The sequence below is a fragment of the Homo sapiens genome, chromosome 10 (assembly GCF_000001405.40).
Source record: "Homo sapiens chromosome 10, GRCh38.p14 Primary Assembly".
In the NCBI taxonomy this organism is placed as follows: Eukaryota; Metazoa; Chordata; class Mammalia; order Primates; family Hominidae; genus Homo; species Homo sapiens.
Genome location: NC_000010.11, coordinates 128,540,880 through 128,560,067, shown reverse-complemented (window position 1 = coordinate 128,560,067; position 19,188 = coordinate 128,540,880). Strand labels below are relative to the sequence as shown.

The 19,188-nt window shown below is 46.9% G+C and overlaps 1 annotated feature.

Moving 5' to 3' along the window:
- Positions 18,132 to 18,807: an enhancer, noted in NCBI's record as "OCT4-NANOG-H3K27ac-H3K4me1 hESC enhancer chr10:130339525-130340200 (GRCh37/hg19 assembly coordinates)". NCBI's record gives its function as "activates a minimal SCP1, AML or CMV promoter by ChIP-STARR-seq in primed H9 embryonic stem cells {active_cell/tissue: H9 hESC(primed)}" and the evidence as "EXISTENCE:reporter gene assay evidence [ECO:0000049][PMID:30033119]".

The window sequence follows — 19,188 nt, the reverse complement described above, 5'->3', positions numbered from 1 at the left end:
GTTTTACCTTTATAATGGGAAAACAAGATAAATTTTATTTTTGTAAAGCAATTGAGCTGTTAAATTGTTTAAATGCTATGAAGCACAGAAAACAAAAAGTCAAATTGAGGCAGCTTCAGAGAGGGATGGCAGCCCTCTCTGCCCCACTCCAAAAAAACCCATACATCCCTAAACTGATTTCTGTCCACAGCCCCCCAGGAGGCTTCTACAGCAAACACAGTTCCTTATCACAAGACTGTATGGCTAAAACATGCATATTTGTGAATCATCTATTTCTTTAGTAATGTGTAAAGCAAGAGGTTCACTCTGAAAAGTAGAGTTCACCTTACTTGCCATAAAATGAGAGTTTCAAACTTTTGGGTTAAGCCTGAGAACAACTGGGGAGGACGGGAGCAAGTGTGACGCGGATGAAAGAATAGTGCATTTCACAGAGCCATGGTGGACATTGGGATGGAGGTCTGTCAGTACCGCAAAGAAGGCAGGTTAGGCTGAGGAGAGGACAGAGAAACATCCTTACCCTGCCTTGAGGTCTCCAGCAGTCTGGCCCTTCCCAAAAGTCTTTGCAAAAGCTTGCAGAAGCTCCCACTTGCCTGGCACATGAAATGAAATTAAAGAAATTATTGGGGGTGATTAATCTGACCGTCACTCTGAGAATGGGTGGTAGGGAGAGACAGGGATGTAGGCCTGGGGCACTGATGGACACCGATGGAGAAGGAGCCCAGAGGCTACAGAAGTGAAGAAACCAGCAGGGGATGGGGGAGAGGATACCAGGGAGAGATCCTCGGGGAACCAGCACGCTCAGGCACAGGAGGAGCCAGGCAGGCCAGAGAAAGAGATCCTGGGACAGGAGAACTGAGGACAGCACCCCAAAATTCAGGAGGAACTGAACTCTAAGAACTTAGGAGCAACATCAAACCTGAGAGAGGATAAGGGACCCATGGATTTGACATTTTTCTAAGGTATTGAGTCTTCTTTAAGGGAATTATTTCAGATGTCAAATTTCAGGGTTTATTTTAGCATAAATTAACAAAATTATGTGATGGGAATGTAAGCCTCACCTACTGCAATGAGGAAACAGACATAGCTCTTAATCAAATACTGTACCTTTTATCTCACTCTTAAAAGTGGGTTCTTAAATGACAATCATCTGATGTACTATAGGGTAAAACATCAGTCATGTCTATGAAATGTTCTAGTAGAAACAGGTAACTGAAAATAAAGAACTGGAAACTACTAATCATGCCAGAGCAGTGGACATTCATACGAAATGTGATTTTAATGTTATGCATTCAGCATACCTACAGTGACTTTTTTGCAGATATTTCCTGTCATCAAGCATAGCAACCATTGTTACATAGGAAATAAGGCCAGCACAAAGTGTGGTGTTTATCGTAGAAACTACTTCCTGTATATCTGATTGTCAACTACATTTTCTGTTCTTAAAGAAAGTGCAATGATTTGGGAATCAGGGATGGGAAAATGACAATGAGGCTCTTTGAAGCCATTTTTCTGGGAAAAATCTATGCTGATTGGGCTACATGGTGTTTCAGTAATTCTAGAGATAGGAAGGATGTGGTCTTATTTCATGTCTAGGCAGCTTTTGAAAAACTTCCAAGCTCTTTAAGGTTAATTTACAAATAAGTTGTCTCTCCATTCTTCCAGCTTTAAGTGCAAGAAATTTACTTCTTGTCACACATTTACAAAATGATTCTTAGCGTTCACTGCTAGCGTATTCTAAAGCCTTAAATGACACAGGTGCTTATGTCAAAATGTGATCCCAGGCCGGGCATGGTGGCTCATGTGTGTAATCCCAGGACTTTGGGAGGCAGAGGAGGGCGGATCATGAGGTCAGGAGTTCAAGACCAGCCTGGCCAATGTAGTGAAACTCTGTCTCTACTAAAAACACAAAAAATTAGCTGGGCGTGGTAGCAGGCACCTGTAATCCCAGCTGCTTGGGAGGCTGAGGCAGGAGAATTGCTTGAACCCAGGAGGTGGAGGTTGCAGTGAGCAGAGATCGCACCATTGCACTTCAGCTTGGGCGACAGTGTGAGACTCCGTCTAAAAAAAAAAAAACCATGATCCTAGAACTAGCAAATTAACTTCATGTTCCATTTCCAGATCCTGTGCCATTAACTCTGATGCTCTTTGTGTGTATGTGGTAAGTCCTTGCCTTCATTACTCTGCTCATAGAACGTCTTACATGGGTGCCTTTGTGTTCTGCATTGTAGGTAGCAATGCAGCTGCAATCCCTCAGCATCCACAGCCCAGCCCATGTTTATCCCCAGGCCCATCAAGACCAGCAGCATCTCATCCCCTTTGCCAGCCCGTCCACTGTGCATGTCTGAAGCTCGGCGTGTTTTTAGAACCACTTCTCTGTCCCTGTTTAAGTTTCAGCAAATTCTAATTTGTTGTCCTCATTCCATCAAATTATATCCAGTACAAGCGTGTCAGCAGGATGTCATAACTTTCTCCTCTCCACACTTAACATAATTTACTCACAGCTTCATTTGAGACCAATTATTCACATATTAATTTTTCGCCACAAAGAATGCAGCAGTACCAGGCAGCCAGGGGCCTCCTGCGACGAGTCTTTGCAAATGGTGTCCTGGCGCACACACCCAGGGTGACCACAGGCTGGGATCTGCCTTTCTGAAGACATTGCCTGTGTTGCGGGGGTGGGGTGGGAGGAAGGAGCATCCTGAGGGGTGCATGTTTGAAGCCGTAGCTGCCGCAGGAAAGTAGAGATCCCCTAGAGGGGGCAAAAACCCGAAGGTACCAAGTGATCTGATGGGCAGAAGGCCACTCCCTGAAACTGACTGAGTCCACCGCATTACCGAGGGCCCCCTGTATTTCAAGCACCTGCCATCCCCAACGTGTTTTAATGGCAATTGTTCTGTAATTGTCAATCTACAATCCTATGTGTCCACATCCCCTCCCCAGTCGGCACCTCCAGCTTGTATTAATTAAACAGCCCAGCCCATGCGGCTTCATCTTGGTAAACAAGCGAAGAAAGATTTTTCTAGAAGCTACAGTGTGAACTCCTTTCTGGAGATCGGTTATTAGCTGCAGGCTTCTGTTTCATTTGCCCGCCTTTCACTTTAAAGCCAGCCACCACCACCGCCACAAACACAATGATGAGAGAGGTCATAGAACAGCAGTTGTGCATGAAAGATGTGAAAATTTACTGCAAATGAGACAAGAGCAGTAAATTCATTTTTATTCAAATTACTGTCATCATACATTACCACGTCTCCTGTAAACATTGTGCTTCAGACAGGGTGACAGCATATTATTATTGGTGAGATTATACTATTATTAAGCTGTTAACATGTCACCCCTGCTTGAAACACTGACTCAGCTTGGTTCTGCAAAACAGGACAAGGGAGGAGACACGCAGAGGTGACAGAAAGGTTAGTTTTAAGACGGCAGGTGGGTGGAGAATGACAGCTGGCACTTAGGGACCCGCATCACGAGGGGCCTGTGCATTTTTATTTGGGAACCTTCATCATATCCTTGCACCAAAGACTGTGTTTGGTCTCCTTCACAAAACACTTTGCTCAAACATTACTAAGTAGTAAAAATGCTTCCTTCAAAACCAAAAGCAAAAGGAAGTCGGGCTGAAAGAGGTCCATCCTTGCCTTAGGTCATCCTGTGACTGAGGAGGCTGCCTTCTCCAGGGACGCTTCCCTCACTGTGAGCATCCAATTGTGTGTGCCAAGCAGGTGTGTATAAAGCAGAGGGAGGCACCCGGTGCTGAGCTCTGACAATGCAATTGCACAAAATGCCAGACAGAAGCCTCTCTGACAACCCAATGCTGCCTCTAATTCCTCCTGCAGGACAGCGGTCTTCTAGTTCTGGGCTCCCGGTCTCCAGGGGTTGAGAAGAATGAGCGTGTTCGACTCCACAGGCTTCAGAGACCTCTGGTGTGGTGTTGCTGCCCACCATTACTGAGACGTACAGATCACAATGCATCCAGACATCCCTTTCTATCTGCAGAAGGTCACATTTCCCGTGGCCAGAACCAACATATTAGCATTCTTAAGAATGTTTGTTTTGCTTATGGGACTGTTCCTGTCGCCACTGCAGCCACTTCAGAGTCAGTGGACTCAGAGCAATCCCACCTGATCACCCACAGTCGCTCTGGCTGGATACCTTTTCTTGTGGTTCCAGGATGTCACCATTTTCTCCAGCTGAGGGTCTGTCTACACTGAGGATGAGGACGGGAAGAAGCCCCTAGCAGCCTCACTGGGGGACAGGGCAGCTCCTCCTGACTTAAGACAGCCCCATTCCCATAGCTCCATTGGCCGTTCTAGGGTCTTGGACTCAACCACTACTCCACCAGCCCTGCTCTGGGCGGTAGCTGTTTATCAAGTCTGAAGATATTTGTGTAAATAGAGTTTGTTTCAGTGTTTTGTGGGCTCCTTTGGACAAAAATGACATTTGTGAACCCAAGTACAGAGCAAATGTCGAACAAGTTTTGTTCTAAATTAGTTGGGAAGGAGCCTTGTGAAGTAGAACAAATTTAGGGATACATCAGTGTCTTACTAATGATCACATTTTAGGCTCGACGAAAAAAAAAATTAAAATGACGGCGCAGCTCAGAAGGTGTTCCAGCCTCAAAAGCTGTGTCTGTGTGTGGAACTCGCTGCATGCCCCCATGCTGGCTCAGCCTTCTCAGGCTGTTAGAAGTTCCTTTTTAAAGATGGTATCTTAGGCAGTAAGAATATAACTGATATCTTGAAAGCTCTGAGTTGCACGTAATATTTTGTAAAGTTGTCCTTACACAATCAAGAAGCTGAGAAATTGGCAAATGTAAACCACCCACAGGTTCTGAGCTTGATCTTTTACCACTTGTATAACCATTTTGTTCTCCCTAAACTTCTCTTAGAAATCTGAATAGCAAGGCATCCCTTACTCTTCCATTGATAATGGACATTTCTCTCTCCTCTCTAACATCCTCCCGCTCATCTCTTCTTTAAGAAAGTGGGTCTCACCTCTCATGGCCAAGGATCACCTCGGCTCAGGGTCCCACTCCCCCAAGTGGTCTTCTCTCCTGGTTGATGCAATGCTTCCAAAATAAAAATCCATCAGTCTGGGGTTTCTGGATAGCAGGTGCAGGTGTGTGCCCCCACCCCACCAGCCACACATACAATGGCTTCCCTCTTTTGTCAAAATGAGCAACTTAACCCTTGGTCATGAACCTCCCCCATCTCTCCCAGGCACGAATCCACAATGCCCCAAATTCTTTTCCTCAGGATTAGCTCTCAGCTTTCTCTGGCATCAGTGGAGCTCTGTACAAGGGACTGACCATGACGTTTTTCTTCCATGCCTGTTTTGTGTCACAAGGATAACCATAATTTTGAAAGTGAGGTAGGAGACCACCAGGACTTATTTCCCAGTCCAGACAGGATAAAGTAAAAAAACTAGCAGGAACCAGCAGATGGCCAGGAAAGTGATCCCTGGCTACCCTCATTGCTCATTAGCATAAGACACTCCCACCAGCATCATGACAGTCCACAGGTGCCATGGCAACAACCCAGAAGCTACTGTCCCAATGACCCAAAAGTTACCACCCCTTTCCTAGAAAGTTCTCAATAACCTGCCCCTCAGTTTACATTAACCCACCCCTTAACTTGCATGTAACTGAAAGTAGGTATAAGTACAGTTGCCAATAGCCCAGAAGTGTGGGTCTGGGTGCACCACCTATGAGTTAGCTCTGCTCTGCAAGGAGCAGCTCCCATTTAATAAAAGATTGCTGTCTAACACCGCTGGTTTGCCCTTGAATCTCTTTCTGGGTGAAGCTAAGAACCCTCCAGGGCTAAGCCCTTGTTCTGGGGTTCACCTGCCCTGCAACAAAAGGAGAAAGTTGAAAGAATTCACTAGATGTAATTAAGGGAGGGTCTGGCAAGATGTCATCCATGCATCTTTTTGGAGAATCACATGCCAGAGAAAGTTTTCCAAGGATCTTCTAGTCCAGTTCCTGGCCCTCACACAGTGAGAATTTTCTAGGGCTTGGGAGATATGACCAAGGCCCAGAGAGAGGAAATGTGATAAATTTATTGTTTAGTAATTCACCACGCCCAAGTTTGCTTGGCTGGTTAATGGCAGAGAATAAACGGAACCAGGTCTGATGCAAGCCTCACACCCTCCCCTCTGCCACCTTGAGAAGAGCCAGCTCAGCTCCAGTTCCAAGCACCACCTCAAGCCAACACACTTTTTATTTTCTGTTTTTTTTTTAAGGAAACAAACCACTTTTATTGACCATATTATGCTACAGAAAAAAAACCTAATAATAATAGATGTGTAGACAAGGAACAAATAAATAGTAACCAGGAGCATCACAGAGATCATTTAAATTTAAAAATATTTTCCATGATTAGGAAGAGAACCATTTCAAAGTCTGTATGTCTGGTAGAGGAAGTTCGGAGAAAGTATTATTATTCCTAGCCAAAACCTGTTTTACTTGCTCTTGACAAAAGGCTAAGATCTACAAGAAAAGGAACATAGCCCTCATGCTCCAGAGCTCAACTGTGCTCCACCAATGTGTCCACAAACGTGTTGACTACCGATCTGTCCACAACGAAGCTTTTAGGTGGTTGTTCCAGGTGGGTTCTGCAGTAAAGGAGGGGAGGGGTGGATAAAATGGGTGCCGTGATGCAGCTGCTGGCTCTGGCCACACCACCTGAATCTTTCCCCGGTAATATAACCATGGCCAGTTCTGAATGGAGAACCTCCAATCCACCAACTCTGTACCACTTCTGGCCTGGGTAGAAAGTCAGAGCGCTGGGATCTTTCCAGGGGTGGCTCTCACACTCCTGAGTGTGGAAGTCTGGCCACAGCTCCAAAACACGCTATGCTCAACCTATTGGAAAGACGCTTTTGAGAAAAGTTTTGTCTTCCCATAAGCGAAGGTAGTACTGTGAGCAAAGTCAGTAACATCCCCATGGTGCTCCTGCAAACATTCAGTGCAGCAGTTACGAGGGTAAGTTCTGAAGTAAGGAACTGGGGTCAGCCACATGTGACTTGGGGCAAGGGATGTGACCTTCTTTTGCCTCAGTTCCCATTTCTGAAAACGGGAGATAACACGAGCATCAGCTGCATGAAGTCAGGCCTGGTTGTGAGCCTCAGACAACCACACACACCAAGCAACAATTGACCCATCAAGAGCAATAACTAAGTCCCTGTACCAGGGCCTCTCCATAACAAGGCCTTCAGCAAATGCAGGCTTCTTGTGGTCAGCTTCCCAAGGCAGGCACCTCATTCGTCAGATGCCATGCCAAATGCCCATTTTCTGGCACAAGGGGATGTCCAGTGAATGCTGGCTGAATAGATGGTGTGTTAGTCCGTGTTCATGCTGCTGATAAAGACATACCTGAGACTGGGCAATTTACAAAAGAGAGAAGTTTAATGGACTCACAGTTCCACGTGTCTGGGGAGGCCTCACAATCATGGCAGGAGGTGAAAGGCATGTTTCACATGGTGGCAGACAAGAGAAGAGAGCCTGTGCAAGGGAACTCTCCCTTATAAAACCATCAGATCTCATGAGACTTATTCGCTATCACAAGAACAGCACAGGCAGCACAGGAAACACCTGCCCCCATGATTCAATCACCTCCCACCAGGTCCCTCCCACGACATGTGGGAATTCAAGATGAGATTTGGGTGGGGACACAGCCATGTCTCACCTGCCCTCCTGGGAGTCTGCCAGGCACAGCAGGTGCAAAGATGGAGTTTATCCCAGCAGAGATGGTAAACCCATGACACCTGGGCAGCGGCAAAGCCATCCTCAGCCACAAAGACACTTCCAATGACCTAGGATACTCATGCCAGCAAAAGGGGAATGCAGACCCCCATCCCTCACACATGAGATCCATCAGCCTGAGCCCACACAGGGAAGACACTTTCTATCTTTGACCAAGTGATGCATTGTCACACTCTCTGCAGGAGGAGGGAAGACAGGGTGTTGCCTGGAGCACAGCAGACACTGCATCCTCATTTGCCAAACGAGTGCCCCTTAAGGATATAAAAGCCTTGGCCGAGGGGGAGGAGGGAACTACCAGAATCTCAGGGCAAACCAGAGCCCCGGGCTTCAGTGCCCTTAATTCAGGGTAATGTTGGTCCTTCTGACTGTGGTCTTTCTACAAAGGGAACTGAGAGAAACCAAGTGAATTCCACCAGAGTTCCAGGGCCTTAGGGAGACTGGCTGCATGGGGACAGGCCTGGGCCACACTAGAAAGAAGTGTCGACAGGAGTTGAGGAGAGGGTGCCTGCATTGCGTTTCCCGAGACACCCCTCCAGCATGAAACCTTCAGCAAATGTCTTAATATACTAGGATGGGTAAGAGAAGAAAGGAAGAGGGAGAGGTGGCTAAATTCCAGTGAGGCAGGAGAAACAGGTTCTACTGCGCCACAGCACTGCAGGGTGACCTCAGTTAACATGGCATTGTATATTTTCAAATAGCCACAAGAGAGGACTTCTGAATGTTTCCAACACAAACAAGTGATAAATGTTTGGGTGACGGATATACTCATTACCCTATTTGATTATTACCCATTATATACGTGTACTGAAAAATCACACTGTGCCCCCGAATATGTGCAATTATTCTATGTCAATTAAAAATAATAGTAATAAAGTCTACATACACAAGGGCCTCCTGTGAGGGGCACTTTGGGAAAGTAAAGGACTCTCCAGAGCCCAGAGCAATGGGCTGCAAGCACAGTCAGTGACCAAGGCCAACCCCAGAGCCCAGCATGATGGGCCAGAGTGGAGGCCCCACACTCTGCCAAAACCACAGGGACACGAGCCCCCAGACCCCAGCCCAGAGAGCAGGGGCCTCCCAGCTCTATGAGGGATGGAGGCCTGAGCTGTCTTTAATCAAAGAGTGGAGCCCAGAGTCTGCAGGTGTCAGAACAGGGAGTGCATGGATCCCTGCAGAGGATGGGCCCTTCCACTAGCAGACAAGAGCTGGGAGGGCAGGAATCACACTTGCGATTCACAGCTGGATTCCCAGTGCCCACCAAGCCCCTGGCCCATAATAGGTGCTCCATAAAAATTTGTTGACTAAATAAGTCACCGAACATTTCTTTCCCACTAGACTGTGAACCCCTTGAGGCCAGGGTCCATATTCCAATTCTGTATCTTCCAGGAGGAGCACATGCCCAGCTCATAACAATTGACTTAATAAATGATTATTGAATGATTGAATGAGGGTAGCCCCGTGGAGATCAGAAAGACACGTGCAGGTGTCAGGCGCCATCATGGGAGCATGCTGGTTTCCTAGGCTGCCCTCTAGCTCCCTTCTTCCCAGAGCACTGGCTCGGTCCAGCCACTCAGCTGTGGCCAGGTCCCCTTGCCCTGCCATCCACCATTCTAGCCTGGACAGCCATCACTCCCAATAGAAAGCTCAGTTCCATTGCTGTCACATTTATCTCAGTCTGTCCTGCCCCGCACTGCCCCTGTACATTGCGTCCTCCATACTTGTGATTTTCTGCACACACCATAATGCAACAATTTTCCATTGCTCTGCGGAAGCCATTTCTTCAACCCTGTGCTCATCATCCCTTCTGGAAAGAATCACACCAGGGAAACTGTTTCCCCTTATCCAGACTCTTTCTCTGTGTAAAGACGCTGAAAGGGGCACTGCAGGGGGCAGGACTAGGGCACCCCGGTGTTCCCCAATCTCCATCAGCCCCTCTGTCACCACGGCCACTCCAGAAAACAAGTGGGGCTGAAGAAAGCCGTGCGTGTCTCCTATGCAGATCTCCATCAAGAGTCCACTCCTCTTCCAATCGGATTGCTCCCTCTGGGGTCCCTCCCTAGGACCCTGGAGCTCCCCATATGGCCGCCCTGTCTTACTGCATGGTCCTTCCCTGAGGACATTTGATCCTGTTTCACACTCAGTGCCTCAATGACTTACTGTTGACCTGAACACAGGTATTGACCATCTCACATCCATTCACCATCCGGCGCTAGGGCTGGGACATGTTGTTGTGTTTCCTTAAAAATAAAGCAACCGCAAGTTAGCTCACTGAAAAACTCATGAGAAAATATCTATACAATGACGCTTCAATTTAATTGAAGAACCAAGATTCGCTTAGTGCCTATCAATTCGATTTTTGAAGGAACACAGATTACTACAGTAAGAGTATTTTTAAAAAACAAAATATCTGATAGTTCTGTTAGACAGATCATATTCCTAGAATGACCTGAAAATTGTCTGCTATTTCAATTCTTCCTCCAATCATGACTTTTTCCTTCATTGTGCTCATGACAAGCAAAGGTTCAAAAAGGACTGAAATGAGACACAGGTGAAGAGCCCGGACTAGCTCTGTGAATGGCAGCAACATTACTGTATCACGAACAATATCATGAATAGTGACAAAGCTTTTTCCTTTCACAATGGTGCATGTAAAACTGAATTGAGTTAGATACAAAATGGAATGTCTTCAGATTAATGGGACCTTGATCTCTGCGAACAGTTAAAATGCCCCAGGCAGCAGGATTTATGCTGACCAAGACTAGCCCAGGGCCCCTGGCAAAACAGTTTCCAAACTGGTATCTAGGAGGTGGGGGTGGTACTAGTAGGAATAACGTACTAAATCAGGAGTTAGCAAATGACAGTGTGCACATCGAATCTGGCCCTCTGTCTTTGTAAATAAAGTTTTATTGGCACACAGCCACACCCAGTCATTTGCATATTATTTATGGCTGCTTTCACACCACAATGGCATAGTTGAGTAGTTGCAACAGAGACCATATGGCCTGCAAAGCTGAAGATATTTACCATCTGGTCCTTTTCAGAAAAAGTTTGCCGACCCTGGTGCTAAATGAATAAACTGAGAATTATATTTATAGCGCACTGCCAATGCACAGGATGTGCACTGAGTCCTTTCCATTCCTCAGCTCAACTCATCTTTTCAATAACCCCGATGGTAGGAGCTACTATTGTCCACATCTCACACATGAGGAAACTGAGGTTCTGAGGAAGTGACTGGCCTAGGTTCCAATGGCAAATGGGCAGGAGAGCTGGGATGGGGTCCAAGCTAAGTGCAACTTCAGCCCTGTGCACGCTTTTGGTCCAGGTCCATTGTGGACACAGATCCTCCCTCCTGGAACAGCCTCCATCATCTCAGCTGCATTTGCAGAGTGGCAACTCCTCTGCTATGTTCAGCCCTCCTCCACCAAGCCACCCTTCAGAATTCAACGTGATTCCTCGGCACTACAGTCAAATCACCGCATGGTACCCTCTCAGGGTTTCCGTGAGAGCAAAGCAAGACTGAAAGTATCCTTCCTGATGCCCTGAACATCTAGGAGCTTCTGCTGACTTACGCATCATTCACTTAACACATATTTGCTGAGTGCCTTGGTCCCTGCCCTGAATGTGCTCACAGTGAAATGGGGAAGGTGTTTGTCACGTGTCTAATAGAAGAGTGTGCAGGAAGGGGAGTCAGGAGGAGAGACCAAGTCTAAAAGGCTTCACAAGGTGGTCAAGATGGCAGGGCATGAGCTGGCCTTGGGCTGGCCCTTCTCTCTGAAGGACAGGCATTTCTAGATGTGCAGTCTTCACACCATTGCAGATGCTGTCACAAGCTCAGTGATCTTAATTAGCAAGGGAGATAATAGGAAGGGAGGGAACGTACCAGGGGTAGATAACCTTCTAGTCCTAGCACTCTCAGATTTTTCAAGTCTACATGCAGCTCATAGGATGTTTCTGCCTGAAGAAATATGTTGAGTTCAAATAAGGTATTTCCTGCCTTTGCCTACTAAAAGAAAATGCAGAACTTTTCTTTTTAATTAAACACTTGATTTCTACTCTGTATTGCAAACTCTCGTTAAGAAAATAATAGTCTGGAACAGAGCTGTCATTTCCACAACACAGAAATAATTGCAGACAATCTGCGAAAATAAAACTTCAGTATGGAGTTATGTTGTTGAAACACCTAATGCAATTTAGCTTATATGCTGTTCCTTCCCTCTCCCCTTCCCTCCGTCCCTCCCTCCTCCCTTCTTCCCTTTTTTCCTTCTTTCCTTCTATGGAGAAGTTAGCAGTCAGGAAGTCTACATGCTCTGCATAGGAACAGAGGCAGTCTGTTGGCCTGAGAGCAGCGCGGGCCCCAGGTAAAAGAAGAACAAGGAATAATAAAAGGGTACGTATGGTAGACACGGACATTGAACACGGGATTCATGTCAGCACGGACACCTTCCTAGTTATACCAGGCTCAGACTGTTTCTCAGATCTGCTCTCTCCCCTAGTACAGAGGCCAGGGCTGAATATGAAAGGGGAACCAGAGAGGGAATGAATGCTGTTTCTGTGAATAATCTACAAAGTGTCCAAGTCATGCCTCAGTGGTCCTTATGCTGACCACGGAGAAGATGATCAACACAGCAGACACACAGGCCCGGGAATCATGCCCATTCTCAAAACCCCCTCCAGAACCCCTGGGCTGTGACCTCACAGCCAGGCCAGCAAGGCTGACAGAGGAGCAACACTCCAGCCCCACCGAGGTGGGGCCACACGGGCCGTGAGCTGGCCCTGCCCTGACTGCCTGCTGGTCCCTGTTGGGAGGTGAGAGGGAGAGGCCTCCCTCGGAGAGCTCTTCCGGCCCCCTGAGCCTCTCCTCTGCTTTCCCTACTGGCCTGGTGTCTGCTATTAAGTCTGGAGAGGGGCTGGGAAAGGCTGCCTCTGAGTGTAGCCTGCTGGGGGGCTCCTGCCTCCAGTCCTATCGTAGGCCAGTGTGTCCACACTGAAGCCTGCCCAGGGGACGCCTATCCTGGTGGAGCCTGGCTGTGATTGTTTTCTCCTCTGTAACCACAAAAAAAGTCTCTCTGTTGCAGGCATTGCGCTCCTCAGGCTGGGGGTGGCTGCTGAGGCCTAGGTGCTCTGGGCAGAGCCGGGGGACAAGCCTTGGCCCAGCACAGGTGTGGCCCAGGTGACTACCGCAGCTGAAGAAGGGGAGCTGGGACCAACAGGCTCCAAATGCACTTCTTGGTAAGTGGGTACGTCTCAGGGCCAGACGCCCCCGTGTCAACACTGGGTGGCCCTGTACTTAGGCATGGTGGTGCTTGTCAGCCAGCTTCCATCCAGGTGGGTGGCCAGATGTGGCAACGGACACTGAAGCCCCCAGGCTGACACATTGTCCCTGAGGACAGGCACTGAGCCAGGAGGTAGTAGACGGCATGAGCCGGGGCTCCGCCCGGTGAGGTGCTGAGTGGACAGGTGATGTCGGGCTGCCAGCACTGGGAAGAATTGGCCTGCATCTGCTCCTCTAAATTCTGTCAAGCCCCTCAGGTGGCTTGGGCAGTGCCATCCAGGCCGCCTCAGACACAATTCCATTCCTGTGCAGAGCTAACAGCCGCCGCTTGAAGTCACCATCATCACTGGCGATGGCATAACCTGCACCAGAATGCGACCCACAGCGCCTCGTGTTGTTCAGACTTGCCCAGGAAATGTAACTTCCCACAAACATCCGAATAAGGAAGGAGCCCCTCCCACCATGGCCCGAGAGGGTTTCAGAGCGAGTGGGGCATCCAGTCCCTCATGGGGACCTTGTGTCCTCAGGTCTCGCCTCCTGCCACCCTAGTGCCTGTGTGTTCCCGGGCTTCTGGAACTTGTGAAAATGCTGAACGGCAACTCCACCAAATTCTCTCCAGCCCGTTATGAATGTGGGATCTCAAGTGCTTGCCACTGATTAGGCAACATTATTTCTATTATCCTACTGGGCTTCACATGAGGAGTGGAGGCTCTCGCCTTGATTGGAAACTAGCAGACACCAGGAGAATCTGCTGATTGCTAATGAGAAGCTGAGATTTTGTTGATACCATCTGGGACCCTCTTGCTGTGGGTTGAGATTAGGATGAGGAGCTCTACATAACACACCATATTAAGCAGGCAGTGACTCTGTTACGGGCTCAGTATAACTTTTCATGTCTGCTGTACGCCAAGAGCTTAGCCCGAAACACCTTTTTCCAGAATATGAAACATAATATCTCCGTGCTCATTGCATTATTTAAAAAGGGGCAATGTGGTTCATAACTTTACATTTATTGCATACTTTTAAGCCACTTGACCCATATAAATATTGCTATAGAGTTGCCCTCAGTTATTAAATTCTTATTGCTTATAAAAGGGGCAACAGGAAGTATATCACCTACAGTGTAAGGAGTGGGGAGGGCTGTGGAGGCCTGGGGAGGCCAGGCAGGGGTGTGTCTGCGGTGTGTGGAGAGCAAATGGGCTTCAACTCTGCTCTCTGCTTTCAAGCATGGGTTTTTTTTTTTAATTATTATTATATTTTATTTTTCTTCCTAGTTGTAGGCAGCAGCCTGTTTTACTTTAGCTCAAAGAAAATTATGCGTTGACATGGCAAGGGACATTTTGCCTTTCTACTAATTAAAATGGAACCCCACTCTTAGAAGACATTGGTTGAAAGAATTTTTTTTTTTATTTCAGCAGCACAGCTGAGACCAGATAAAAGCAGGGCATCAACATTTATCAGGGTTCAAAGTCGAGTCTCCTCACTGTGAAAGGGAAGCAAACTGTGTCTTCACTGTCAGTCTTGTATTCTCATTAGCGCTGCCTCCCTTGTTCTCCTGATCCTCCCAGGACACTCGGGGGCTCAGGCCACGCCGGGCACACCTGCCCCAGTCCGGAGGCGTGCACCGCTCACAGGTGCCTTTGGAGCTTCTCTCCTGCTGTGCACTTTTGGGAAATGACAGAATGACCATAAGCACTTTAAGACACCTCAAAGCCTCTCTACAGCACTTTCCAAAAAGCAAGTTCCCTTGAATGCCAGTGTGTGGCCCTTTTGGGCTAGCTCCCCATCTGGAGGACATGGCGTAGCGAGAGTGCATTTGATCATCTCCAGCACACAGAGTAGAGGTGGAGAGACATGGGGTCCGAAGCTGTTATGAAACAGGAATTTTTTTTTATCCGTAGTAAGAATCCCTTCTGCCCTGATCTACAGTAGAACTCCCAGGGGCAGGGGGAGGAGGATGCTTTGCACACTAACGTTAGCCCTTCCCATACACAGGACAGCCCTGGCAATGCATTCACATGGGCAATTTTACTTACCTTGCTTAGGGCAGAGTCTTTAAACCTAGAGGTTACTGCTGTCAACATAGGACCTTTTTCCTCCTGTCACTGTTTTCCAAGATGAAGGGGAAGATTTCCCTTAGCCTACAGCATTCAGCGTGCAAACCCCTCCACCTCCACATTGTGAAACCACAGAAATCATGAAGCCAGTCTGCGACCTTCCAGTTCAGTGACAGGACAGCAATCCCTTGAGCGGTGGACGCCTCCTCTGATATTTGGAAAAGTGTCATGTTTTCTTTACAGAGAAAACTGTCAGGTTGTTGTTGGCATAAAATACAACACTTCCTGGGTTGTGATGTCCTTGTTTGCTACAAAATGTCACCTGGGCACATGACATGTTTTCATTTTGCTCACAGCAACTCTCTACTTAAGATATTCAAATGTTGCAAAGAGAAAGGCTGGCTCTACACTTGGGTCGGCCCTCTTCACAGTTACAGGCATTTGACTTCCTGGACAAGGAGCACTGTTTGCCGGCCAAGAGGGCTCGTGTGATGGTGCAGCCCACTTGTTTTGAGTGGATGAAAAACACTCTGCAAATACATGCTTACCCTATTGATGAGCTCTTTAGAAAGCCCCTAGAACAAAGACACGCAATTACTGGCCACAGCTGGCCGTGCTGTTTTAAAAGAAAAAAGGGATGTAATGTGAATAGCATGAAAAAGGCCACCACCAGCCACACCTAGCATTGGCTGTGGTTCTTGAAAGCGGACAGACTGCTCAAGTTCGCTGGTTACCTGTGCGTGCTACCTACAACACATCCATGTATCCAGCCGCTGCACTGCGGTCAACCTTAAGCTCCCATCCTGGATAACACTTATTTGTAAATTCCTCTCTGTTTTTTTTGTTGTTGTTGTTCCATTTCTGGGTACTCTTCTTGGAAGCACACTGCAGGATTTATACTTAATAAATGGTGAGTGATTTAAGAGACATTAGAAGAAAGCTTGAAGAAATACAGTATCCATGTTATTTTTTTCTTTTTGCTCCTTTGAAGACCTAAAATAGGAAAAATCTGTCCCCCTTTAAGTCTTATGTCCTGACAGAAGTGCAGACATCTAAATAATGTCTTTTTTTCTGTTGTAAATTTGGCACATAAAATAAAAGCAAAATATAAGCAGTCTCAAGAAGGGATCTGCAAAATTCCGTTGAATACCTAAACGTGGTGCTGATCAGTAGAATCCCCTGCGAGGAGATCCTGTCCAGCCCTGCTGTGGCTCTCAAGCGTTTGGTTAAAGGAGCAGGTAGGAATCCTATCCTCAGGATGACAAATGCAAGAAAAATCGAGCTCCAGTGACCCTCTGGTTGCTCTGGTACTTTTGCACTAGGGGTTGGAGTCAAGTGAAAAATAGAAATAAAACAATTGCCCAACCATCAGGGAGTGTTTTCAGTCACGGTGAAAAATACAATCTCATCTTGAGCTGACAATGCCGGTCACCGAGCTCCTAGCGTGCAGACGGACGGATAGAGGCCAGAACCGAACGACAAACGACGCTGGCTCAGAAAGGTGTTCTGCTTCCTTTTTAACAGTTTGGATGCTTTGAAAACTATGTCATGCAAACCAAAGAGCAGATTCCTTAACTGCCTTCAAGTATGCCCCTGTGTGCTGGGAACGCAGCTGGAAGACCGTGGCTCTGTGGTTAGGGCAGAATTTGAGACATTGTCTCCTTTTCTTGAATTCTTTGTGCCAAAGAATGAAAAAATACAGAACCTGTTATCACTGCTTTCCTAGGAATCGGAAATTAATTTCTCGCATTTATATGCATACAGTTGTAACTCTGGACACCAGCCCTTTAAGACCCTGACTCTGGATTCTGATAACTAGACACTTCTGGCATATTTCCATCAAACAGAAATTAGGGAGCACACAGAAATACGGCCTGTTTATCAGGACTTGAGTTAAGTTTTTGTTTGTTGGTTGTTCTTTTTGTTTTGTGTTGCCTTTTCTCCTTTGGTGCCCAAATAAAACTACTTCACCTGCAACCACACAGCCAGTCAGGCCAGATGCTGGCTGCCTCCTTACAAGACCACGCTCCAGAAATGGTACAGAGAATTGTACCTCTGACCTGCAGAGTGGCTGCGGCGACACTGCATATTTCAATGTCATTACAACAGTGATAAGACAGCAGAGAGCACTGCTCAGCTCCGGGCCCAGTCAGAGGTAATTCCGGGCATTTGCTGATGGCCTACACAATTTAAGGAGCGCTTTTTACTGTGATTGCCAGGAAGGTGCCGAGGATTACAAAATCCACTGCAGACACCTGACATAGCACAGGGCATTTGCCACTGCACACAGATACCATTTCCAGAGTGGATTCCACATTTAATCTATTTTTTAAAGTCAGAGGTGATTTGAATAGGAAAACTCAAAAGGAACTGTATGAATACACACCTCTCAAAAAATGGAGAAATTTTTCTGGGGGAAAAAAATCCTCCCCTTTCCATCTCACTTGGAATTGAACTTTGGACAGCCTTTGGCAGCCTTGCATAAAAAGATTCATGTTCTGTCCTGGTGGACATTATCAATGGTCAATAATGCTTATAGCAAAAAATACACCTGGCTCTGAATCTTGCCCAGAAGATATTCTTCAGAAGGACAACAATGCACATTATCCAAAGTAGGTGTTTTCACTTAAAACTATGAGCGATCTTCCCCTATTGCATTACAGCAATCTGACAATTTCTAACGCAGAGCAAGGACAGATGCTTCCCAGCTATGTTGATATTACACTTAGCTGGCTGTTCTACCCATGTAACTCACTCCATACTTAAGAAAAAGATTGCAGGGAAAAATTAACATCTTTTTTCCTTGAACATTTAAGGCAAGCCCTTCTAATGGTAGAACTTTATTTTCTTCCTCATAGTAATATATAGTACTGAAATTCCAAAGGTTTCTGGTGCATTTCAACTGTCACCTCAAGTCAAAACCATACAGTTCAGCTATAAAAGAATATAATAAATTTAACCTGACCTAACTGGGGATTTTTAAGCAGCCAATTTTTGTTTAATTGTGTATCTATGAGCTCCCTATTCCCACATATAAGTGTGTGTGTGTGTGTGTGTGTGTGTGTGTGTTTCTGTGTCTTGCCTGGTTCTTTCTTGTGTTCAAACTTGTGTACATACATGAAATTATCTCTGCCTAAGTACTTTCAAAGATGTTAACGTGACATGCCACTATGGAAGAAAACGCAATTCCAGGGAAACTTTATTTTAACCTAGCCTCTTATCTCCTGAATTTTCGCTGCCATCCTGTCTTGGGTGACTACTGTAGGAGCCGGCCACAGGGAATCTTCCTCTCCAGGAAATGTCTATGGAATGCGCCTGGGCACTCTGGCCCCAGCCCAGCCCTCTCGCTATTTAGCGCTTAAGGGGCTGATATTTTATACCCCCGAAGCAAACTTCCGCACTCCAATTCAGATGTAATCAATGTTTTTGTTTTGCAGCCTTTGTAGATTGAGTCTTTGTTAGGCGAGCACGTCTTGTTTCCCCAACACCCGAGGAAATCCCCGGCATCAGAGTGCCCCCAAAAGGCAGCCCGGGAAATGAGCAGGGGCGCGCTGACCTTTAGCGAGACAGCGAAGGTTATGCACATAACATTTGCTTGTTTACTTTGCAAAATAAGCAACGAGTTGGAAACTCCGAGTTTCGCCTGCGCCTCCGCGCACTTAAAAAACAACAACAGGAACCAGAGGCTGCCGGTCTTTCCAGCTCCCGCGCGCGGAGCCTGTTATCTGCTTTGCTCTGTATCTATCCTGATGCAACTTTAATAACGTTAGCCAAGACTGCTCAGAAAATCACAGCTGTAGCTGGAGGCAAAAGAAAAAAAAAAAAAGGAAAAAATCCGCTAAAACGAGGTCCTTCTCTCCAGCCTCACCTAGGAGCCGGGTCACGCCGGCCTGCACGGGGGCAGGGGCCACCCGATCGATGGCCGCAGCGGGCTGATGGCCACTGGTCGTTTTGATGGATATGACTGTAAAAAAAAGTCCAGATTGGTTCACAGTGGACCTCAAACCATGTCAGCTAAAACCAAAGAGACAAAAAAGTGACAGCTGTGGAGAGCGCACTGCAGGCAGTCAACGGCGCCTGTGATTTATTGTTCCATC